A 26,606-nucleotide genomic window follows, 5' to 3' on the forward strand; every position below is an offset into this window, starting at 1 on the left:
AGGCTGATATTAGACTTATCAACAGTAACATAGAAAACAAGCAAAGATTAGGGTAACATTTTCAAGAAACTCAAAGCAAGAAAGTGTGGGACAAGGGTTTTATTTTAACCGGTTGAGCTGGTGTTCAATTATCAAGGTTGTAGAAAATGTTTTAATAAACATGCAAGAATTCAAAGAATCCTGAGAAATCTATTCAAGGATGAATTCCTCCAACTAAGAGATAATTGTGAACACTTTAGAAGTGGATGGGTGGTCAGTATTGAATATATTATTGAAGATCTAAAACTAAAACAAAATTGTGGATAAAGAGAGAACAGTATTACATATTACATGCTCTGATACAGTAGGAATAACACTACTTAAATCACAAAACTGGAAGAGAATGAAAAGTTACATAAGTTGCTTGATTTCCTTATGGGTAATAAGTGGAAGCTGAAGATGTCATTTAAATGTGACAAACCAAATAGTGGAACCTAAGTAAGAAAAAAGGGACTAAGGAATTATATAAAGATATTTGTATAATGATAAACAGTAGGATAAAATATAAATTTTTCTAAATATTAAAGAACTACTAAATAAAAGGTCAAAGATAAAAAGTAAATGTAACAAAACAATGAAAAAACTAAGAATAGAAATAAAAATATTTATAAATATGTATAAATTCATCTACTAAAACATTACAGACTGGATCATAAAGAAAAACCTAACACTATACTTAACAACTACAGAATACGCATTCTTTTCAATTACACCTGATGTGGACAACAAGAAAGACCATCTACTAGGCCAAGTCTCAAATTTAAAACAATTAGCCCAGGAGTGATGGCTCACACCTGTAATCCCAGCGCTTTGGGAGGCTGAGGCAGGAGGATTGCTTGAGCCCAGGAGTTTGAGACCAGCTGAGGCAACATAGTGAGACCCTGCCTCTACAAAATAAAAATTTAAAAATTAGCTGGTTATAGCAGTACATGCCTGTAGTGCCAGCTACTTGGGAGGCTGGGGTGGAAGGATTGCTTGAGCCCAGGAGGCAGAAGTTGCAGTGAGCTATGATTGCACCACTGCACTCTAGCTTGGGTGACAAATTGAGACCTTGTCTCTGTTAAAAAACAATAATAATAATTGAAATAATACAAAGCATTTCAATTATTTGTGGTCCTCAAAACCACAACTGAAATAAACTAGAAATCAATAATTTAACTAGGGAAAAACCCAAAATTTGGAAACTTAACAATGCACTTCTAAATACATGGTTCAAAGAAAAAAATCACCATTTGCACCATTCCCCATAGAATACATTCTTTCAAATGAAAGAACTCAAACATAAATAATTACATTCAAACATAAATAATATTAATATTCTAACATTCAAACATAAATACATTCAACATATTACATTCAAACAAAAATAATATTAATAATATACAGAATTCTTGTTAAATCCTTTCTGCTCAAGATGCTGTAGACGTTAGTTTATTGTCTACTGGTGAGTATTATTATAGCAAAGTGAACCAGGTAAAGGCAAACAAAAACAAGACAGGATTGCAGTTTTGGTATTTGACAAGGTGGAGTTTATGCCAACATTGTTGGTAAGTATCATGATCGAAAGATGAAATAAATACATTCTTTCATTTTTAACAATAATTATTTATATTATTATTATTTTTTTTTTTGAGACAGAGTCTCGCTCTTTTACCCAGGCTGAAGTGCAGCGGCGCAATCTCGGCTCACTGCAACTTCCACCTCATGGGTTCAAGCGATTCTCCTCCCTCAGTCTCCCAAGTAGCTGGGACTACAGGTGTGTGCCACCACACCCAGTCAACTTTTGTATTTTTGGTAGAGGCAGGGTTTCACCAGGTTGGCCAGCCTGGTCTCAAACTCCTGACCTCAAGTGATCTACCTGCCTCAGGCTCCCAAAGTATTGGGATTACAGGCATAAGCCACTGCGCCTGACCTATATTACTATTTATGTTTGATGGTAATAGAAATATATTCTTTCATATGAAAAATTTGGAAGAACTCACCATTTATGTACCTCTACTGAAAAATTACTTTAAAATATTAATCAACTAATCAAAAGATTAATCAAACTTAAGAACTAAGGAAAGTTATAAATAAAAATGTTGGTAACATTAAACATAATTAAATATATATATATAAAATTTCGCAACATGTGATTACAAAGTAGAATGAAGAAGAAACTTGCTTTGGAAGAAGAGTTATAAGATTTAAAGTATTCAATTGCAAAAAGCTGGGTCTGTACTGATAGATTGAATTTAAAACACTTGAAAGTGAGAAATAGGCAAGAAAATACTGGTAAAGAAAGTAAAGGCACAATAAATTTTTCTTTGGATACTTCTGCTTCCAGCCAAATTAGATTTACTTAACCCTCTTGCCTAAAACAACCCAAAGAAAAATGGACAGAATATTTAAAACAGTATTCAAAACACTGGATATCAGGCAAAGAACAATGATTATTCCAAGATGAAAAACAAAGCAGGTGAGTTTTTAATCATTGCCCAGTTTACTGCCTTGAGAGAATTTCTAAGCCCTGGTGCAGGGAAGGGCAACTGAAATGTAGTCCAATGAATTCCTTGAGTTGAGCAGACAGAGCTGAGTCCAGAGACCAAGGGAGCTTGAGCTCTTAGGACAGAGGACCAGAGAAGAGAAAGCTGCACAGAATGAGAATCCTGGAAATCTGCAGAGGATCCCCTTAGAGCAGAGGTCCCCCAACAAAGACTGTGGACCGGTACCCATCTGTGGCCTATTAGGAACTGGACCTCACAGCAGGAGGTGAGCGGTGGGCTAGCAAGCTTTACTGCCTGAGTTCTGCCTTCTGTCAGATTAGTGGCAGCACTAAATCCTCATAGGAGTGCGAATCCTACTGTGAACTGCGCATGCGAGGGATCTACGGTGTATGCTTCTTATGAGAATCTAACTAATGCCTTATGATCTGAGTTTCATCCTGAAACTATCCCCCGACCAACCCTGGTCGGTGGAAAAATTGTCTCTCACAAAACCAGTCCCTGGTGCCAGAGAGTTTGGGGACCATTGTCTTAGAAAAAGATGCCTGTGAGTGAACTACTCACAACACGGGAAAGAACTACCTGTAAGGATTAAGGGGAAGACTGCTCAGCATTCACACAGAGTTGGGAACAGTACCCGTTCCCATCAGCCAGCCTTGAAAAACTCACAGGCTGCTGTGAGAAGGTTTGACTAGAGAGGATTTGACTCAGCAGTGGAGTATAATTAGCTGTAGACTGAGCACTGCTCTGCAGTTGCCTAATAAATCCTAAAAGCAATGCTCAAAACGATCAAACTGTTTCCAAATAACTTAACTGCATCTCAGAACAAAGCCAGAAGCTTTATTTTTATTTATTTATTTATTTATTTTGAGGCAGGGTCTCAGTCTGTTGCTCAGGTTGGAGTGCAGTGGTGCAATCTCGGATCACTGCAACCTCTGCCTCCCGGGTTCAAGCGATTCTCCTGCCTCAGCCTCCCTAGTAGCTGGGATCACAGGCGCCCGCCACCATGCTCAGCTAATTTTTATATTTTTATTAGAGACGGGGTTTCACCATGTTGGCCAGGATAGTCTTGAACTCTTGACCTCAGGTGATCCACCCGCCTTGGCCTCCCAAAGTGCTGGGATTACAGGTGTGAGCCACCACACCCTGCCTAGCTAGAAGCTTTACAAGAATACAAAAATATCCAGCACTCAACAGGGTAAAATGTACAATGCTTGGCATTGAATCAAAGACCAAAAGGGATAGAAATATGACCGGTATAATGAGGAGAATAATCAATCACAACCAACTGAGAAGTGATATAGATGTTGGAATTAGCAGGGGACATTAAAATATTTATTATAACTGTATTCTATATGTTCAGGAAGTTAAGTAGTTACAGGGAGGATATTAAAAAGACCCAAGTGGAGCTTCAAGAAGTGAAAGCTACAATGTGTGAGATGAAAAATACATTGCATGAAATTGATGAAAGATCAGACATTGAGAAAAAAATCAAAAACCTTAAAGGCTTAGAAATAGAAACTGCCCAAAATGAAATAAAGAGAAAACAGAATTTTTTTTAAATAAAAAGAGCATTAGTAAACTGGGGGACAACTTTAAGTGTCCAAGTGAAAAGCATGAATATGTACATTGTTGCCAGATTAATTTACAGGCTTAATCTCACTCAGTATAATTTTTGAGAAGCTTTTCTTTTAATTTAACAAAATAATTCTAGAGTTCACCAAGAAAAATTAAAAAGTGAGAGTTGTCAAGAAAATTTTATAAAGACAATATAATGAAGGACAGGCCGATAACCATTTCTACCAGATATTTAAATATACTCGAAAAAGACAATGATTAATAGTCAGATGCCAGCATGAGAACAGATAAGTCAGTGGGCTAAAACAGGGGGCCCCAAGACAGAGCACAGTACTCATAAGAACTTAAAACCTAAAATAGTGCCATAAGTCAGTGAAAAGAGAAATATTATTCAATAATTAGTCTGAGTTCTCTTGTTAGTATGTGGAATGAAGTATCATTTTATGTGTTTTTTTTTTTTCTTGAAGTATCCATTTTAGATCAGAGGTTAACATTTAGCTCATGGACCATCATGCTTTATTTGGCTTCATGGCATCTGTAAAATTGAGGTGAAAAGATTTGTTTTTCCTTTAACTTTCTTCTTGAAATGATATTGATAGTGGGGGAAAAGTCTTTATAATGACATACTAAGTTTTTAAGATATTTTAATATTCAGTTGTCACCACTGTCATGTTATGACATCTTAAAGTGTTTCCCATTGATGATAAAAAAGAAATTCCTATCATTATGATCAGGAGATTGCTTTTTTTTTTTCCTGAAACAGGATCTTGCTCTGTTGCCCAGGCTGGAGTGCAGTGGCATGATCACAACTCACTGTAGCCTCAAGCTCCTGGGCTCAAGTGAACCTCCTGCCTCAGCCTCCTGAGTAGCTGGGACTACAGGTGTGTGCCAACACACCCAGCTAATTTTTGTATTTTTTGTAGAGACAGGGTTTCGCTATGTTGCCCAGGCTGGTCTCGAACTCCTGGGCTCAAGCAATCCTCCCTCCTCGGCCTCCCATAGTGCTGGGATTATAGGCGTGAGCCACCACGCCTAGTCTGCTTATGTTTTACATTGTTTAATTAAATATAAAATAATTAAAAAGAAACTTGCAAGGTTTTAATCCTTTGGTTTTCCTTTTTGTCAATCAACCTTATGAAATGTCTTCAAACAACCTATAGGCTGATTATTGAGCTGAAAAGCAGAAAAACTACACAGAATTGGAAAGAGCTTAGAGAAGTCATGTCCCCTAGAAATGGCAAACATAGTCTGTGGCTTGCAACAAAGAAAAACTGAAGCAGTCGAAGGAGCTCCTATTGTAAATAATGTCACCCACTCCAGAACTACTATTTCTTCTAACATTTTAATATTTTGAAGCAGTCCTAAGAGAAATTTGTAACTATACAGCTAATAAAACTTCTGATGCTCTCAGCACAGACAACTGTTTTTCATCCGTTACTGGCATTCCTATTTCACGAGCCTCTTCAAATTTTCAAAAACTACCATCATCTCGAAAGTGGTATTTCCATTTCTGGAAAAAAGTTTCAGACCTCTGGGCACAGATCGGGTGTCTCTGACATTTGGCTGTCCATTTGTTTTTGCTGCTTTGGAAAAGACACAACAGACGTCAATGTGACTGGGCGATTTCTGTATCAGCAGGCAGGGGTGCCAAATGTTCTGCCACCGATTCCGAACTTGCCTAATGCTGTGAGAAGCACCAACTTCATTAGGCTCGAGGCTGAATTATTATTTCAGGAATTTTTCTCAAGCAATGGGAACAGAATGAGAGCGGTTTTTTGCTTTCTAAATAGAAATTTGCTGAATTTCCAGAAAACAAGTCTTGAAATGTATGATCAAACTTTGGGCAGAAATTTTACTTTTAAATAAAAAAAAAAAAGAAAGCCCATTATCTCATGATTTAGCCTACTTGGACAATAATTTTGGCCATATCTTTTGGTTAAAGCCCCGCAGTCACCACTATGTACGGTACTGAAGAACGTGCCCCTGTTCCATAAGAGATTGGCCGCTAGGAGAACGTGCTAACACCGAAGAAAGATCTGCAATTTGGAGCTAAGAGTGATTAGACTTTTCCCAATTTCTCTGCAGTCAGAAGCAAACATGAGCCAAATTCTTAAAGGTTACTTCTGATCAACATAATCTTAAGGTTGAAATGTGCATTTGTAATCCAAAATTTAGCTATATGGACAAACATCAATGATGTGAACTTTGCCAAAGATAATAACCTCAGTAAATTTGGGACTCAAAATGAATTCAACTATTTTTCGATTCAATCCCACCCTCACCTGGCAAAGTGTCCTATAAAGCTTTGATTCCACATGCTATTATGTCCTTATGCAAGCCAGGGTTTACAACATTTTTGCCACCAAAACAAAACAAAAGAAAAATCAAAAATGATTGGATATCAAGCATGCCACAAATGTTGCCATCTCAAAGTCACTCAAAGCTTTCTCCTACTCCAAGCCAAACCGCTACAGCCTTTATATTGAAAGTTGATGATAAACTGAATTAAAGTTCAAGATTTGCTTTGCTTGGAAATCTTTGTTTTATTTTTACCATGAAGTGGGCATTAAGTTTTGCATTAAAATAAGCAAAAGGGGCATAGGCTTGTAAAGAATGTTTTAGAAAAGAATGTGTAATCAATTTCTAATATCACAAAATAGGTAATATCTAGATTTTTGTGCCTATGTTTAGGTACTTTTTTCCTGTAAGTTCATAGTTTTCATCGGTCTTAAAGAGGCCTACAATCTTAAAAAACTGCAAAAAACATTACTCCTCTGATTTAGACACTGACCTCACATAACACGCACACCATCTTGCAACAATTTAAGAATTATGGCTGAGCACAATGGCTCACACCTGTAATTCCAGCGCTTTGGGAGGCCAAGGCAGGTGGATCACTTGAGGCCAGGAGTTCAAGACTGGTTGGACCAACATGGCAAAACCCAGGCTCTACTAAAAATACAAAAATTAGCTGGGTATGTTGATGCATACCTGTAATTCCAACTACTCGGGAAGCTGAGACATGAGAACCGCTTGAACCCAGGAGGCAGAGATCGCAGTGAGCCAAGATCATATCACTGCACTCCAGTCTGGGTGACAGAGCAAGACTCTGTCTTAAAAAGAAAAAAAAAGAAAAAAGAAATACATGGAAGAAACTCAAACCACAACACCTAGAAGAAAATAGATATTTAGCACATTTGAAGCTGAGAAAAATATTTCTGAACAAAAAAGCAAGAGAAAAACATTTCATTGACAAATAAACATGGGAAAGACATCCATGTAGAAGACATAAACAAAATAAAAAGACAAAAAAAAAGGAAAAATATTTGCAAGAAATACAACAATCCAAAAACCTGACATAAAGAAGCAAACAAATCCACAAAAAACACCTACTTTTCAGTAAAATAAGTGGAAAAGCACATGGAATGAATACTTTCAAAGACAAAATACAAATGGAATATAAAAAGTTAAATATTAATCTCCATAATAATAAAAAATCAAGTTAATACAAGACTATTTTGTCTATAACATTAGCAAAGGTTTTTTAAAAAGCTTGATAAGGAAAAGCTATGAGGAAGATGAGCACTTTCTACACCTGTACAAGAGTACATTGATACAGCCTTTTTAGAAAGCAGTTTGGTAATGTTTATCAAATGCTTTTAAAATCATGTAGGGGCCACCCTTGGCCCTCCGCAAGTTCACTGAAAAATCAGTTCACAAAAGGTGAATTAACAGGAGAAAAGGCATACAAATGTATTTAATGTGTATACATGGGAGCCTTTAGAATGAAGACCCAAAGATATAGAGGAAATCGTTCATTTTTATGTATAGGTTTAACAAAGTATGGACAGCCATATAGAAACATGATTGGATAAAAGGGTATGCTCTAATGCTAATAGCCTGAGTGGGGAAACCCAGCAAGGTCTGTCTCTCTGGATTCTTCTCGGCCTCTCTGGGCATGCATTCCTTCCTTCTGGATGTGGGGTTGGACCCGCTCTGGAATGGGAATGTTATGACCTACAGTTAAAACAAGTTAGGCCAGATAACTTTTTTATGGCCACTTTTTACACAAATAGGGCAGAGGGAAAATTAGAATAATATTTCTAGGTTTTATGATTAGCCCTGGGGAGAAGGGGTTCTGGTTTCTATGACCTGCCCTGGGGAAGAAGGATTCTGGTTTCCATGGCTTGCCTCAGGAAAAAATGAGACTGAGAGACAAGAGAGCAGGAGGAGGTCAGAGAAAAACTTCTGTTGTAGAGGCTGCTTCTGGGGCCTCCAGTTTGGGGTATTGTTTTTCAAGCCCCAACATTGGTCACTTTCTTTAGCTCAATGATTTAATTTCAAATCATTTATATCTAAGGGAAAAAGTCCAAAATGTAGACAAACAGTTCATGTAGAAAGAGCTCATTTCAGAGCTAATGTTTTAAAAAACTAAAAAAGAAAGTCAAGGGAATGGGTAAGTATATCAAGGTATATCCATGCGATTGAATGTGCAGTGACTGAAATAGTGTTTGCAGTAAGTTTCTTGGATGACACAATCAAAAACCAATGGTCTGTTAAATAAGGAAAAAAGATGTAGTAAAAAAATGCTGAAAAGAAAAATTCTAAGGAAATATGACAAAATGTTTATAGTAGTTGTTTCTAGGTAAGATTTGAGTGATTTTTTTTTTTTTTTTTTTTTTTTTTGAGACGGAGTCTTACTCTGTCGCCGAGGCTGGAGTGCAGTGGCACCGTGTTGGCTCACTGCAACCTCCATCTCCTGGGTTCAAGCAATTCTCCTGCCTCAGCCTCCTGAGTAGCTGGAATTACAGGTGCCCACCACCACACCCGGCTAGTTTTTATATTTTTAGTAGAGACGGGGTTTCACCATGTTGGCCAGGCTGGTCTTGAACTCCTGACCTCAGGTGGTCCACCCACCTCAGTCTCCCAAAGTGCTGGGATTACAGGCATGAGCCACCACGCCCAGCCAATTATTTTTATTTTTTGTAGTTTGCAAATTATCTACAATGACATATAGTACTCACGCTTGGGGAAATTAAATTTAAATTTAACATATCAAGTTTAGATCATGGATAGAGGCAGAAATGTTTCAAAGAAAAAGAAAAAAAAGTCATCGCATATGAATGAGCACATAATGAGCACAAAGCTTCAAAATTTCTGGTGAGAGAAAAGGTTTTACTGCTTTGCTTCTCAGCTTAGCTGTTCAGTGGCATTACTTTTTCTGTGACTTGGATGCTGTAGAGTGTTCTTGAAATGACAAATCATAAACTGATCACTGTCTCCAAACTGACAAATCAACTTTTCAGGCAAGAATAAGAGGGAACAATTTGAGGCTAGTGAGGATTTTAAAATAATATGAAAATAATATGACTCATAAGAACCAAAATAATGTTTAGAAATGGTGAAGAAATGGCTACCCAATACTATAAATGTTGCTGCTTGAAAAGTGATCTTTAAAATTTAATAAATTCTCGAAGGAAAACATGGAACTTTGAGTTGCAAAATAATTGAAAGAAGGTTATAAAGCTAATTAAATCAGATTTTCCCTTGGGTTTGTAAGAGATGAGGACCTTCCCTAGTCTCACCCTTCTGGGTGAGGCCCATTAGAGAGGAACCCATAGACTCCACGTTGTGAGAGGTTGAGCGGCCTGGCTGAACACTTCTTCTATCCATTCCTGAACTCACAGGACTTTAAACTTTAATGTTTAAACTTGAATAGCTATCAAACTTCCTTTGTAAAAACTAATCTTAGGCTGCTGAACCCTACTATTTTTTAACATTAATTATTAATTACAGAAAAATTGATAATATAAAAAGATAAGAAATAATCTATATATTTTGCAACTGGAAATTGGTCAAAGTATGGTATTTCCAGAGTGTTGAATACTATGATTATGTTCAGCAGGGACTATAAACTTAAATGCCTACAGAGACTAAGTAGGTAACCTAAATGAGTGCAGTGGATCTGTATTGGAACTTGGGAACAATAGAGATTGAAGATTTGAAGGGTGGATACTTCATCTACAGAAGGCAGCAGCTATTTGATTCTAGTCAGTTGTTGGCCTTCTGGAAATGTGGGTGCAGTGCTGTCAGACCTTCCTATTTTTAAAACACTTTTATTTGGAAATAATTTCAAATTTACAAAAAGTTGCAAAAATAAGACATAACAAAAGAATACTTATGCACCTTACCTATATTCTTTTATTTAATTTTGCAGTCCATTTGAATTCTCTCTGTGCACATGTACATACATACACACACACACACACACACAATTTTTTTCTGAACCATTTGAGGGTATGTTAAATATATCATGGCTTTTTGCTCCTAAATACTCCATTGTGTATTTCCTATAACTAGAGACCTGAAACCTGCTATTCTTGAGCTGGGATACCTGGAGTGGGATGAAGAGATGGCCTGAGGAAGTCCTCTCCCCCTGGCCACTAAGGGACAGTCAATCAGCTGCTAACCCCAAACAGAGCTGTAACACCAAACAGAGGTTGAAAACCATTGCACTAGGTCATTCCACCCGTAAAAATAATACCTCCAATATATGCATATTTATTTATAAATTAGATTTATGTACAAGTCTACTAATATATTATGTGTCTTAAAAAACATATACTTTAAAAAGGATGAGATGAAATTAGATATTAATACAAATACAAGATTGAAATTTTCTTCCTGTACTCCAAGGGAACATCTTGCAACCTCTAAGGCATGTGCCTCCCAACCTTGGGGGCTATTGCTCTACACTGTGGGGGTTAAACAGGAAAAAGACCATCACGATTTCCAAATCTGAGTCTGGGTCCTGTTCCCTGATGTATCTTCTTCACATCAGCCAGCTCTATCTATCACAACATACTTTTTTGCCTTCCTGGCACTTATCACAACTGGCAGTCATCTTGCTCATCTGTGTGTTCATTTGTCCAACATCTTTCTCCCCCAACTAGAATACAGCTTCCTGAGAGGCAGGATCTTGACTGACTTGTTCATTCCTAATTTCTCAGCATCTAGAAGAAGGTATGGCACATAGTAGGTGCTTGTTAGATACTTGCTAATAAATGGAAATAAACATATCCCTAGTTCCTATTCCAGCTTTTTCCCTGCTGTTTTGTCCTCCATTCTTCCAGCAGACAACAGGACTAGTTCCCTGACCCCCTGCAGGAAGCTAACAATACCCTAGCCTACTTCTAAGCAAAACGTCGCAGCTTCAAAGACCTTCCATGGAGGGCGATGGGCTGAGGACAATCTTGTTCTTCACGTAAAACACAGGCCCACAATCTCAAATTTATAATTTAAAAATATATATACTTACAATGTCTCTAAAGGCACTTATTTTTCTTAAAAATCATGTATTTGTAAGCTGAACTATCATTTTAACACAAAAGCTATCATTCTTGCTCAATGGAGTCAGGCTGCTCTTGGAGTTTCTGTCCTGGGAGGAAAAAGGGCAGGGTGTAGGTACCTGATGGTTTTCCACACGTCGAAGCCATCCAGAGGCTTTGTGCCATTGGTGTGTCCCCTGGCCAGCTTCACGAGTGTTGGCAGCCAGTCAGAGATGTGGATGAGCTCCCGGTTCTTCACGCCCTTCTGCTTCAGCAAGGGGCTTGCCACAAAGCCCACCCCTCGGACGCCTCCTTCCCACAGGCTCCATTTTCTTCCTCGAAGGGGCCAGTTATTACCCCCTGCCAAAGTCTGCCCTCCGTTATCTGAAACACAGTAAGGTCTTGGCATGAGGATGATGTTAACTCTTAAATACATTTAAGAACAGAGACTGTATGTACATTGTTACTAAATGGTGCTTAAATAATAAAAAAAAAGAAAATTCCTTGCCTTTTCCCACCCTAAATTCCCTTTTCCCATTGACATAGCCTTTCATTATTCAGACATAAGTAAGGCCCAGTGTGATACATATCTACCTTTAAATCCTCCATGGAGAGAGCCACTGGAAAACAAGGCAGTCCCTCGATGATATGCGCTTTGGAGATCCCTAAGCTAAACAATCCACTAAACTTTAAATACACCTGTGTAACTTTGTATAGCATGGGAGAATGAGTCCATGGAAGCTGGGACCCTCTCCATGCATGAAGAGAAAACTAAGGGAATTTCACTTAGTGACTTAATGCTCCTTATAGGTGGAGACAAAAACTGACCTTTTTCTTTTCCTCTTGGAAAAAAAATTCTACAATTTAAACTGGAAAATGAATTAACACTCTACACTCTGGCAATAATATCTCTTTCTTAAGTGTGAAAGCTGAGTATTTCTCCAGTGGTTGATAAATGTCTCTGTAAACAGAACATTAGATGGAAAAATATAATTGTGAAAAAAATTTTTCCCCTCTTGACAGGATGGTGAAATAAAGTTTCATTATGCACAATACCAGGGAAGAGAAGGTTTCTCTTCCAAGACAACAGAAGGAATGGGAGATCTTGGCAAAGACAGGGTAGAAGCTACTAGAGTAACTGAAGTTAAGTATCTTCCCAGCCAAATGAGGGCTCAGAGTTAAGACATTAAAGTGGGCAGTAGAAAAGAAAAAGTGCCATTTCTTACATACTGGGGTTATAGAATCATACAAACTCCCAAAGTATCCACAGATTTAGGTGACTTTAGAGACACATTTTAAATAACACATATTTTGCATTAAACTTTAAAAAAAAAACCCACTATTACCCAAATGAGCCACATGAGGGCAGTATGACAGACCACCTGCTGTATAGAATGTTACATATAAAAATTTATTAAGAAATCAGAGATCTATCAAAGCTACAAGATGCATCTGGGAGGAAAGAGAATGAACACTTGTTAAGCACTGACTGCACTAGGAGTGACTCTGATTTTGCATTATCTCTCACAGAATCTGGGGTTGGCAGACCTGGAATAGAAGCCTGAGGCCAGACACTCACTAGCTGTGTGGCCAGGGGTGATATACCACCTCAGTTTCCTCGTCTTCATGTGGAAATAACAATCACTAATTGATTTAGTCCATTTTGTGTTGCTATAACAGAATACTGAGACTAGGTAATTTATAAAGAAAACAGGTTTATTTGGCTCACAATTCTGATGACTGATAAGTCCAAGCGCTAGGCACTGGCATCAGTTGCTGGTGAGGGCTTTTGTGCTGCATCATAACATGGCAGAGAAGTGGAAGGAGAGGCAGGTGCAGGTAAAGAGGGACCAAAGAGCAGGAAGAGCCTCACTTTATAACAACCCACTCTCATGGCGACTAATCCATTCCCTTGAGATTGAGAACTCGATCCTGGGAGACAGCATTGATCTATTCATGAGGAACCCGCCCCCATGACCCAAACACTTCCTACTGGGCCCCACCTCCCAAGATGCAGTGGCAATTAGACTTCCACATGAGCTTTGGTGGAAACAAACCACATCCAAACCATAGCACTACTTCATGTATTATGATGGAAATGAAGTGACATTGCTTATGATCTTTTCTTGGCAGGGTACCTGACACAACCTAAGTGCTCAATACATGGTAGTAACTGCTGTTGTTCTTAAAATTTACAACAACCCAAATAGTTTAGTATTATAACCATTTTGTCACGTTTTTTAAAAGGAAGTTTGAAAAAGCCAAACAGTGAATAGATGGCAATGCTAGGATTCCAACAAGGTCTGTGTGACACCCCAGGCCTCTGCCCCTAGAGCACCACACTCCTGCTATCCCTAGTATAGAGTGGGCTCACACATGTAGGCCACATAAACTTTCACTTCCTGATGAAAACCACAAGTACGGTCAACCTCAGCAAAGTGTACACTCTTCCTATGAGTGTACATAGGAAGTTATTTCAAGGTAATGGTAATTCCTTTTAGAGAAGGCTTAGCTGCTGTTGGGGAAGAAATTCAAGGCTCTACTGCCAAGGAAACTTTTGGTGGCGCCCTTAACACACCAGTTCTCAGTTCTTTTCTGTGCTTCTCGAAAGGGAGTAGAGAAGAGTCTTGAGTTAGATCAGGTGAGGAAACAATTCTTCAACACATGGGTCGGTGACAGACAATCTCATCATTTGACATCACAGACTTACAAGAATCTTTCTTCAAACCTCCCCACATCACTTCTTGACAAAAACTCAAGGCCCAAACATTCACTCAGGCCAGTTGTTGAAATACACATTCCATTTCATATTGAAGCTGAGCAGACCCGTATATTCAAAACAACAAAAGGTCACCATCAGTAGAAAGAAGAAATTCCTCCATGTTCATGATACTGCACAGAGTAGCAATCACTCATAACCAATGTATCGAAACTTAGAAGAAGGTGCTATTCATGTGATACAAAAATACACTGGAAAGAAATACCTACACTCTTCCCGTGATATCAAGAAAGGCTGAGACAGAACGATTATTTCACTCTGTTGTCTGGATTGCTGTAAGTGATGCTGGCTCAATACTTTAGAAGAAGCCTGTTGTCTCTGTTTTAAATAGATACACTTCTCTGAGGTATTATGTAGTGTCCTTCAGTTGCACATATTTGTTAGTGCTCAACGGAAAGTATTGGATGAAGATGGTGGTGGAAATAAGAGTGGAGATGATGGGGACAAGGGTGGCTGGATCTGGAATCTGATTCTAGGAGCAGCTCTTCAGTTATGACTCAGATAGGAAAATTCTCCGGGTTGTACAGAGAATTTGGCCACTTTTGCTACTGTAGGAAAGGGAAGGTGTTTCCACATATCATTAGGGGAGGCCACGGATGTAGTAAGTGTGACTGTTTTTGCAATTAGTTCTCTGTGATGTTTTGCCATTAGCAATAAGCGATTCTATCAACAGTTATTCTTTTTAAGAGCACTCCAAAGAGAAAGCACTGTCAATGGACACATGTGCAACTTCTCCAAGGCTCTCCTGGCATAGCGCCAACTGCAGATGTGGCCTCAGCAGAAGGGCAGTTCAGCTTCGCCTGTCCTTGTACCCCCACAGATGGCACCTGGCCGATGGTTGCCACTTATCAGCAATGGGGCAGAATCCACTGAGTTAGGACATTAGTTGGTTAACTATATGAGAAATAGGGTGCGGTCCATAAGTTCTAGTTCAGTCTCCTGGGTATTTCAAAGAATTCAACATAAAACTGGTAGGAGTAGCAACAAGAATAAAATAAGCTCTTTTGCAACAAGGTGGAAAAGGGAGTTTCCTATATTGCTCACTGAAGTTTGACATAAATTAGAATTTAAAAAGACAATGGAACCATCAGCATTTCAAAGACGTTTCTTCTCATTTTCCCTTCTAGTTTTATTTTTCGGCAAAAGTTAATTTCTTTCTTGTTAAGAATTCATATTCAAGAGAAATTTTTGTTTCATTTCCTGACTGACATATGAAAAAAATTCCAAATCAAAATAAGATGACGCCAGCTCCTAAAAGAAGCAAAGAAACGTTTTTTCAGGGAGATGGTTTTGCAGCAATGTTTTGGCACAGGGAAAATCTAATTATAAGGCCTTTACTGTCTAGAAAAGAAATGTCAAAGTAAGACAAACATTATCATATACAGACCGTAAATCTCACTTTATTATTCACTATTGAACAAAAATAACTGTCAAAAAGTCATGGAAAAATATTGGTTTGCCAAAGATCTAAGCAAAAACATTAAGTATATGACAATGAAGCCTCATCCATATCCAGCTGATAAAAATCAAAATGAAACCATGACAACAGCATTAATTTTTAGAACTACTCCCCAAACAATTTAATGTGTGGCTTGGCCGTGGAGGGCTGCCCTGAAACATCATCTCTACCCCAACATCCCTGTGCATGCTTCAGCTGGGGCTTACCCTAGTCATCCTTCCCAACCTGACTCAAAGATCACAAAAGGAAAAGCAAGGAAGGCTCTAGCAGCCTCATACCAAGCCTGGACATCTCTTTGAACACGGCCCTGATGCAAGGGTGACTAACAGATGAGTAGGCAACATCGTTTCAAAAATGGAGAAGCCTCTTTGTCCCAGAAAAGTATCTGCTTGTTGATGGTTGATTCTTTGGATTTTTTTTTAAATTACTGAGAGGCAAACTGGAGTGCTAATATATGTCTTAGTACACATCTAAAGGATTCGGTAAATTCAATCTTCTCCTGCTAAAAGATTTTGGAGACATTATCTACCTAGATATTCAAATTACATTCTGATATTCTCAAATCTTATCTTTTTTTTTTTTTTTTTGAGACAAAGTCTCACTCCTCCAACCAGGATGGAGTGCAGTGGCAGGATCACAGCTCACTGCAGCCTCGATCTCCTGGGCTCAATCAATCCTCCCACTTCAGCCTCCCAAGTAGCTGGGACTACAAGTGTGTGCCACCACGCTTGGCTACTCTTTCCCTGTTGCACTACATTGAATCATTTCTGACAGAATGTGCATTTGATTCTGCCAAGTCTACCTTTAAAACAGCTTTCCAATCATCCCCCCTTCTGCAGCCCATTGCTTTAGGTCAGGCACTCCTCTGTCTGGGCTCCTGGGCTAATTTATATACCGCTTCAAGTTCCCACCAGAGGTGTTTGTAAAACCCAAAATCAATCAGGCCACATGCATGTTTAAAGACCTGATTGCTTTCCAATCAGGGAAAAAGTTCCAACTTCAGGCCCACATATAGAATCCTTCATATCTGCCCCCAACCTCCTTTTTGGGTATCAACTCCTGTCCTCCCCCATAAAAAGTGCCCTGAGCTTCAGTCACGTAGAACTAACTTCTCCCTGTTGTTAGAATATGTCATGCCCTTTCATGCTAATTTTGCCTTTGCACATGTTGGCTCCCTTGCCTAAAGTGCCACGGGTTAAAGATCATATCTTCTGTGAACCTGCCACTTAGTGCCCTAGATGGTCTTCATCTCTGCTCTGTATTTCTGCTACATTTTATGTGCACATTTTCTACTATACTTAGCTCTGTCTATTGTTAATCAGTTGTTCATGGCTTTGTCTTCCCCATGAACTCTGCTTCTCAAGAGCAAAAAGTTTCTTAATGTTTTTATTTCCAAGACCTAGCACAGGACCTACCACACAGAAGGGCTCAATGATTTGGAGGAACAAATAATTAGGGAAAAGGCCACTCACCGAAAATAGAGGTTAAAGGCACTAAACATTAACTTAGGTCACTGCATTGTTTTTTCTAAGCCTTTGTCCAGCTACTCTGTGACCTTGACTTTTCATTGGCTATTCTACATACTGCTGCTTAAACTATAGGAGCTGGCAAGGGGTGCTCTTGGACCCCAGTGAGAATTTAAGTAAATCAAACCCTCAAATATCAGAATTGTTTGTCTAATCTGGTCCCTGGTCAGTTATGTTGGAGTCTAAGAGGGTTGATTGGGAGCATTTCAAGAAGCATCAGTCTTGGCCTGGAAGAAAGAACTCACTTATTCCTTTAACACATCTTTCTTGAGTGCTGCCATGTTCCAGGGACCACTCCAGATCTGGAAAAAGGGCAGCAAACAGGATGGACAAGGTCCTGTCCCTCACGGAGTGAGTGAGAAAAAGAGATAAGATCTCTCCATTCATGGGAGGCAATGACTGGGCTTTGTGGAGGAGCTGAAACCATAAGGACAGGACAGAGCCAGCCAAGTGACCACCAGAGAGATGAGAGCCCAGGCACAGGGAGCAGGAGGCCTTATGCAATCGCACATTAGAGACTAGGGTGTCTGTGTCAAGGCTGCTTCTTAATTAAAGACTAGTTATACTATTAGGTATACTCTGCTGCCAGAAGTTAAGGAAAACTTGAGCTAAATGATGACTAGGTATAAACAAAAAGGTATAGGTCTAGGTGTTTTATGACCATCATCACTTTCCCCTATCACCCCTACTGCCCCATGTCTAATTTCACTGAAATGCAGGGAACTGAGAGGAGCTAAGCACTGTGGGTTTGGGCAAGTACTCAATCTCTGAGCCTAAGTTTCCTTATTTGAGAAATGAGGATAACAAAATACCCACCTTAATATTGTGCCTGGCATAGAAGCAGTGCTAAATAATATTAGCTATTTTTATGTATGCTAGTCATCAGCACCAGCAAAGTACACAGAACAGAATAGGCTCCTATCTGGATATTTACTAAACATATATTAGATTTAAGTATCATAGCCACACTCCAAAACATCACGTTTTCATAAGACCAAAGTATTCTAAGCATAGAGTCCTCCTAGATTGCATTCTCTATTCTTTTTTTTTTTTTTTTTTTTTTTTTGAGACAGTGTCTCACTCTGTCTCCCAGGCTGGAGTACAGTGGTGCAATCTTGGCTCACTGCAACCTCCGCCTCCAGGGTTCAAGCGATTCTCATGCCTCAACTTCCTGAGTAGCTGGGTCTACAGGTGCCCACCACCATGCCCAGCTAATTTTTGCATTTTTAGTGAAGACAGGGTTTCGCCTTGTCGGCCAGGCTGGTCTTGAACTCCAGACCTCAGGTGATTCATCCACCTCGGCTTCCCATAGTGCTGGGATTACAGGCAGAAGCCACCACGCCCAGCCTGCATTCTCTATTCTATAGGTAATTTCTTGAGAAGTGCAACAACACAGTGAATTGTGAGGGGGGTTGTTACTATCAGGGGAGAGCCAGGATAACTCCTTTCTGTTCCCATGAGTTTAAATAAAGGACATCAATTATCATAGAAAAAAACACTATAACAATAGCCTGGGATTCAAATTAAACACCAGAAACTGAAGATTTGTTCAAATACACATTTGATTATTCGTAGGGGTTTAAAATGGTTTGCAGCATTCAGGGCAGATAAGTGCTCTGACCACCAGCTCAGACACTAACCAGACTTTACATCTTGACTAAGAGCACCAGCAAGGAGAATGTCCAGCTGGGCTAGCAAGAGGAGGGTTCTGGTGGAGTGCGACTGGCAGCCAGGCACCAAATAACCGATTGATACGGTTTGGCTGTGTCCCTACCCAAATCTCATCTTGAATTGTAGCTCCCATAATTCCCATGTGTTGTAGGGGAGACCCAGTGGGAGATAATTGAATCACAGGGGCAGATTCCCCCATACTGTTCTCGTGGTAGTGAACAAGCTTCACGAGAGCTGATGATTTTAAAAGGGGTTTCCCCTTTCACCTGGCTCTCATTTTGCTTTTGCCTGCTGCCATGTAAGATGTGCCTTTGTTCTTCCCTCACCTTCCACCGTGATTGTGAGGTCTCCCAAGCCACATGGAACTGTGAGTCCATTAAACCTTTTTCTTTATAAATTACCCAGTCTTGGGTATGTCTTTATCAGCAGTGTGAAAATGGACTAATACACGGATGTAGCCACCAAAAGATGTGGAGATTTAAAAAAGATGCATGCAGGGAAAGGGCAAAATCAGGGATGAATGAGGATTAAAAAGAAAAATGTTATAAAAGTTTGTAGTAAAATATTTCCTCACTTTAATGAGGCTAATGCCATTGCTTATAATGCTGAGATATCAATGGGGTTTTATCTCTCCTTTAACATTTATTAAGGATGAAAAGACTCCAAAGTCTGTTGAAAGATTGAAAACGTTTATTCTCTACAAGTTAAAATGGAACTGGAAACTGGAAAACAGTGTCCTAATTTATTACATATTGGCAAGCAACAACTTAACTTTTTCCTGTAATTTAAAACATAAGTATTCACAGATCTTGGAGATCTTTAGATGAAAGTTGTAAGGTAAGCACAAAATGTTGAGGTGCTCTCACTTAGGAGGTATGGGTAATGCAAGGTTTGATCTTCATATTCAGAATCCCCCTGACAAGTAGCACAGAAGACCCATGTTTGATGTATTAAGCGAGTAAAAGTACCAAATATTTGGTCTGTCCTTTTTAACAACTAAAACCCTGTTTGTTTTTCCTATTGTTTAATTTTTAGGAATGTTTGATATTTTTTACTAATGGATTTCCAGGCAAACTAATTTTTTTGGCACTCTTAGGGAGTGTTACAGTTTACTCACACATTATTTGGCTCCCCTTTCAGACCTAAAACCCACTGAACGTGGCCAGATAATTTTGACTAGACAGCTGTTTATCCTTCAGTAATGCCACTAGAGAAGTAATGAATGAGAAAAGTACCACACAAGTGCTGGAGAGTCTGGCAAGTTCAAGGGCAGCAGGAGAAAAGTGAAAATACCATCAACACACAGGAACAAACAGAATTGTGGTTTCAAAAGAACAGGTGTACTAACAACTTGCGTGGTGAGAAAGATGGAAATTTATGTCAATGTGTTTTCAGAGATGGTTAAGCCAGAGAAAGCTAGCACATTCTATCTGGGCAGACATCAACTATTTCAATTTGTCTTTATGATTCCAAGTATATAATACAAGTTAAATGTTCTCAATTTTTATCCTTGGAACAGAAACAACATTTTACTGAATCTCTACTTCTTAAGTAGTAAGATATGCCTTTAAGGTTACTCAGAAAAATCAATGAAACTGAGTGGACAGGCAGTTTCATTTCCTCAGAGTTCTCTGAAGTTTTGCCAGATTCTAAAGGATCTCACTGATGTTTGGGTGTTTAATGCAGAGAGAGGCAAACAAAAGTCACGAGAACACTGATGAGCACAATCCTCCCTGAAGAATAACCGGAGAGTAAAACATTTAATGGCAGAAACAAAAATAACTCAATATATCCAAACATGAAGCAGTTTGTTTAAAGCATTTCAAATATTGAATGCATACTTAATCAATAATAACAAGAACCTCTTCGGATCTGCAGATAACACTTGCTCCAAGGCCAAAGTGAAATAAACTCTGTGAGCCCCCAGAGTCCTGGGCAGCAGCCCCACCTCTGACCAGGGCATGCACAGTGGGAGTGAGGGCAGAATCCAGGTGATTGACACTGGACATCCCAAGCAGGTGAGGAGGCCACTCAGGAGGAAAGAACATGGAAGGCAGCCTGGAGCTCCATGCCTAATGAGAGGCAAATGGCTAACAGGAGGCCTTGCAGCAGGAGACAAAGGGATGAACAGCCAAGGGCCAGGATAAAAAACCAAACCAACCAACCAAACAAACAAACAAACAAATCAAAACAAATGCCCCTGAGTTACCACAATAGGCACCACGAAGTCCATGCAATTAGAGACTAACTCAGGACCTATTCAGTCTCAGACGCAATTCTAGCAATATGTGCGGTGTCTGGTGTCCTAATTTTATAGCAGGCTAGAATCTGCAAGTCAGGAAGATGCATACTGCTGGACATAATCTTTGTAGAAGGAGGAAAGGAGAAGAAAAGTATAAATTGTAAAAGTAGACCACAAACTAAAGTGTCTTTACCTGTTTTTCCAACATTAAATGATCCACACTGACGTATATTGAAGACACCACTGAAAGATGCATACTACAATAAAAAAATTAAAATGATGACCCTACATCATTAAGATAGTGAGAGACTCATGGCATAGTTAAGGATGGTTTAGACCTAGCAAAAAGGTTTATATCCCATATTCCTGTCATTAATCCTATTTATCTACAGCAATACAATGTGCCTGCCTTCTTCACCTGATACCTTGCAAAGGTCACAACGATAAGCACATGAAAACTTTCACTATCCTGGCATAAAGTTAGGCATATAGACTGAAAAGAGAGAAAATTATTACAGGCTAAGCAGTATGCCTCATGTGCCCTGCATCTCCACTGGAATGATGTTTCCAAATATTAAGTAACAGCTTTTCTCATTCCTAGTAATTTTGTCACCCTGTGACCCTCAACCCAGGAAGCAGGCAGGGAGATCCATGTCTGGGCTCCGGAAATGGATAGTCAGCAGGTGGATGAGCTAATAGATTTAGCTTAAGCAATCACTCAGAGCCAGGGGAAGAGAGAGGACTGGAAACGAAGCTAAAGGACATGGCTGTGACCTTAAGCACACATCTTGGGCTCTGCCCCCAGGACTGGATCTAGTGTAGAAGAAATAATGGACGGAGGGATACAAGAGTGGAAAGAACCATGCCTCATCCCCTGGAGGAGCCGGGGGGCAGATGAGAGGATAGCAAGACTCCCTGCGGTTCTTGTGCCCAGTATAGTGTGGCAGCAGCAGATGACAATGGTTGCACAAGGTGATGGAAGGCAGGCTCAGAGGCTTCTCACACCACAGTGTGGAAGGGGTTGCAGCTGAACTGATGAATGTTTTTGATTTGGTGTTGAGAAGAGCACAAATGTGGCACAGAGATGGTCCAAAGAGTCTCCGCAGGCAAGGAGGTCGCAGCATGATCTAGATGGATGATATAAAAAGGCCAGCCAGGAACAGGAATGTTTCTGCAGAGGCTTGTGCAAGGATGACTATGGACCACACACTTCCTTCAGCTCCAACGCACTGGCTCCCTGGAGGGGAGCCAGGATGAGATCATGAATTAACTGAGATGATCTGAATTGACTGGAACCAGGTTTCCTCCACCCAGCAGAATAGGGACCCCAGAGGTACTGCGTTCAGTGACAGGGTAAAAAAGAAGTAAGTTATATTCTTTGCAGATCTAAGTTTGTGCACTGAAATTTGTGATTACTATGCATATGTGTGAGCACTATGGCTGGATGTCCTAGACTTGATGGATATAATAATTGTGTTAGGCTATTTTGTAGGCGAAATAGAAGTTAAATCCATTTTTATTGTTTTGGTTATTTTGAAGCAGTAATATGGACTCATTCCAAGACTTTACATTTTTATGTAATAGCAACTATAATGATAGGAAAAGTACTGAAATCAGAAGAAAGTTTGTTTCTATAACATGCCTCTCAGGCTTTTCAAATCTAACATCCCCACCCTTTTCATAACAAATATTTTGTGATGCTCCTTTGTCCTGAAATGGAATTTATATACAATACTGTAACTATATGTCTAATTAAAAAAAATAACTCTCAGTGTAATACAGAGTAGAAAAAGGCAATTAATAATAAAATAGCATGTATTTCATAGGAAAATGCGCAGGTTCAACCCTAAAAGACATAGCAAAGTGGTTAGATGAGTGCATACAGTTATAGACGAAATAAATTTGGACTTAAGGCCATTCTATAGTAGAAATACAAAAAAAAAGAGAGAGCAGGGATAAATGCTAAAATAAAGATTAGAATATTAATTATATATTAAAACCACGCAAAAAATACTTTGTGTTTATGTGTAAAACATAGAGACTAGACTTAGGTTCTAGTCTCAGAAAATTGTAAACAAGCTTTTAATCTTCATGACTAACCAGCAGGATATTTTGTAAGTTGTACAGGACTTGGGACAATTCCTCACTGTGTGGGGTTATTACGGGCATTGCATCCTGAGCCCCCTACTCACTAACTATCAGTAACACTCAAGTGAATTTCTAAAATACTCTCAGTAAAAACCACTGCCCTATACAATGGCAGGATTGGGACATATGGCCAGAGATAGGTAGTGACCTCTCTTTCAAGAGGCTTCACAGGTTAGCACTCATTACCTTGTGAATTTAACACAGTTTGGGGTCTGGCCTAAACCTCTGTAAGCTTATAAATAATTCTAACAGCATATGGAAAGAGGTTCCACTTTTTAGAAGCAGAATCACTGTAAATGATATATATATAATCACAAAGTCAATTAATTGATTTACAAAGTAAATTTATCACAGTGACTGGCATGTTTATGGCCCATGGGAGTGGCATAAATGTATGGGAAATCAAGTTATAATCAGATCTCCTGGTAAGTAAGGACTCAGATATAATATTTGTATTTTTGTAATATGTGGACTCTCATAATAATTATTTTTCAGATCTAAAATATATTCTATAAATATAAAATATTTATATTTACTATATTCAAAAATGCACTAAAAGCTGCTTTAATGAGAAAATTCACCAATTTTTAAATATTTTTTTCTAGCAACTAAGACTTCAAAAATGATTAATCTAAGTTCATTCAGGAAAAAATAGATAACGTACATGCCCTATACCCATTAAAGACATTGAAATTAGTAATTAAAAACCTCCCCACAGGCCGGGTGCGGTGGCTGACGCCTGTAATCCCAGCACTTTGGGAGGCTGAGGTGGATGGATCACATGAGGCCAGGAGTTCGAGACCAGCCTGGCCAACATGGAGAAACCCCGGCTCTACTAAAAATACAAAAATTAGCCAGGTGTGGTGGCAGGCACCTATAATCCAAGCTACTCAGGAGGCGGAGGCAGGAGAATCGCTTGAACCCGGGAGGCAAAGGTTGCAGTGCCGAGACTGTGCCACTGCACTCCAGCCTGGGCGACAGAGTGAGGCTCTGTCTCAAAACAAAACAAAACAAAACCTTCTCACCAAGAAAATTTCAGGCCCAAATGCCTTCATTGGCAAATTCTACCAAACATTTAAGAAAGGAATAATACTAGTTCTATACAAACTCTTTCAAAAAATAGATAGGAATCCTGTACTTCCCAACTTATTCTATGAGGCCAGCATTACTCTGACACCAAAATGAAACAAAGACATTACAGAAAAAGAAAACCACAATGAACACAGGTGTAAAAATCTTTAACAATATTTAGGAAATCAAATTTAGCTTTATATAAAAAAACATACATTAGTTTTCTATTACCACACACTTAGCAGCTTAAACAATACACACTTATTATTGTACAGTTCTGCAGGCTGTACAATACATTCAGCTGCTGAGGCCTGTACAAGTCTGATGCAGGTCTCACTGGGCTAATGTCAAGGTGTTGAGAGGGCTGCATTCCCTTCTGGAAGTTCCATTTCCTTGCCTTTCTAGCAAATCCATTTCCTTGCCTTTCTAGCTTCTAGAGGCTGTTTTCACTCCTTGGCTCATGTCTTTTGAGCTTCATAGTAGAGTTATGAGTGGATTGCATACCAGCAATACAGTAAGAGAGTATTCTGAGTTTGTCCAGGTACTTAATTTTACCTGTAGGTTTTATACTTTGAAAAGTTTTCTTTTGCACATTAGCGTTTTTTCTTTCAGACTGAAGAACTGCCTTTAGTATTTCTTGCAAGATGGATCTAGTGGTGGTGAATTCTCTCAGCTTTTGTTTGTCTGGGAAAGATTTTATCTCTCCTTTATATTTGAATGATAATTTTGCTGGATACAATATTCTTGGATGGCAGGCTTTTTTTGTCTCTCTTTGAGCAATCTGAAAATGCCATTCCACTCCCTCCTGGCCTGTTTAGTTTCCTTAGAGTAATCCGTTGCCACATGAATTAGAGCTACTTTACGTGTTATTTGCTTCTTTTCTCTGCTGCTTTTAGGATCCTCTCTTTGTCCTTGACCTTTGAGAGTTTCATTTTTCTATGCCTTGGAGTAGTCTTATTTGGGTCAAATCTGTTTGGTGTTCTCTGACCTTTCTGTAGCTGGATATTTCTCTTTCTCAAGTTTTGGAAAGTTTTCAGTTCTTATCCTTTTGAATCAACTTTCTACCCCTTGCTCTCGCTTCACTCTCTCTTGAACACCAACAGCAGTAATTCTTAGATTTGGTCTTTTGAGGTAATTTTTTACATATTGTAGGTGGTCTTTGTTACATTTTATTCTTATTTCTTTTTTCTTCTCTGATTGTGTATTTTCACACAGCTGGTTTTTGAGCTCATAGATTCTTTCCTCTGCTTGGCTCACTCTGCTGCTCAGAGCCTCTTAAGAGTTCTTCAGTTTGGCAAATGTATTTCTCAGTTCTAAGATTTCTGTTTGATTTTTTAAAATTATTTCAATCTCTTTGTTAGATTTCTCTGATAAATTTCTGCTTTTCTGTATTATCTTGGAGATACCTGAGTTTCCTTAAAACTGCTATTTTAAATTATTGGTCAGAAGCTAATAGTCGCCATCTCGTTAGGGTCAGTCATTGGATTTTTGCTTTGTCCTTTGGGGAGACTGTGGTTCCCTGTTTGCTGTTGTTACTTGCGGGTATATGTCTATGTCTTTGCATTGAAGGATTAATTATTGATTCTAGTTTTCTCTGTCCAGCTTGTTTTGTCTTTCATTGAATATATTTGCTTAATCTTTGCAACTAGATTGCTGCCTCCTTTTCGGCTCTAGGTGGCGCTATAAGCCCAGGTTCACTTTGGCTCTAGTAAACGGTTGCAGTGCTGCCTGTCCCAAATGGGGGAGTCACCAAAGGGATTATCCCAGGTATGTTCTACAGGCTCCTAGGCAGGAACCCCTAGTCAGCAGTGTGGGAAGACTGGCTAGGGGTTCCTGCCCATGGGAACCTGTGGAATGTACCTCCTACAGTGTGGTGCTGCTGAATAGCCACTCTGATTTGGTGTCTCATTTGGCTGAGTTACAGAGCAGAGTTTCCAGGGTTGGGGATGGTAGTCTCACCTTCTGACCTTTGTTGCAGCCTGTCCTCAGAGATATTTCTCCCTACAGGCACTCACAATGCTTCCCATGAGTTAAGGCAGGGACAGGACTCCTGCTACGGAACCCAAGAAGGTGAGGAAGCTGGTTGACCACTCAATTTCACTTTTTCCAGTGTAAAAACAGAATTGAGGGAGATTTTCCACATGCTTGGTGCTGAAAGAATGTAGGGGAGGGGACTCGCAGACGTGGAAATCTGATTCTCCAATCATATGCTCAAGGTTTTTCCACTTCTCTGTGGCCCTGGGGGCTGTCTCATCCTCATACTTGAACTCTGGGTTGTTGCT

The 26,606-nt window shown here is 39.3% G+C and overlaps 1 protein-coding gene across 9 annotated transcripts in view, besides 2 other annotated features; it reads right to left on the reverse strand.

Annotated features, from left to right (window-relative positions):
* ARSB (arylsulfatase B) overlaps positions 1-26,606 on the reverse strand; it is a 208,750-nt gene that overhangs the window by 96,807 nt on the left and 85,337 nt on the right. For 8 of the 9 annotated variants that reach the window (XR_001742066.3, XR_001742065.3, XM_011543390.2 and 5 more), the window contains one exon: positions 11,569-11,812. Coding sequence is in view for 7 of the 9 variants with exons in the window: in XM_011543390.2 (XP_011541692.1) it covers positions 11,569-11,812 (244 nt within the window). In the remaining 2 variants the exon portion in view is untranslated. Of the gene's footprint in view, positions 1-10,283; positions 11,114-11,568; positions 11,813-26,606 lie in introns of those variants that run through there. The other variant, XM_011543393.3, reaches the window with a different exon arrangement.
* Positions 13,546-13,595: an enhancer, noted in NCBI's record as "active region_22720". NCBI's record gives its function as "activates an Ori minimal core promoter by ATAC-STARR-seq in GM12878 lymphoblastoid cells {active_cell/tissue: GM12878}" and the evidence as "EXISTENCE:reporter gene assay evidence [ECO:0000049][PMID:35858748]".
* Positions 26,054-26,143: a silencer, noted in NCBI's record as "silent region_16126". NCBI's record gives its function as "represses an Ori minimal core promoter by ATAC-STARR-seq in GM12878 lymphoblastoid cells {active_cell/tissue: GM12878}" and the evidence as "EXISTENCE:reporter gene assay evidence [ECO:0000049][PMID:35858748]".

This window comes from Homo sapiens, chromosome 5 (assembly GCF_000001405.40).
Source record: "Homo sapiens chromosome 5, GRCh38.p14 Primary Assembly".
Taxonomy (NCBI): domain Eukaryota; kingdom Metazoa; phylum Chordata; class Mammalia; order Primates; family Hominidae; genus Homo; species Homo sapiens.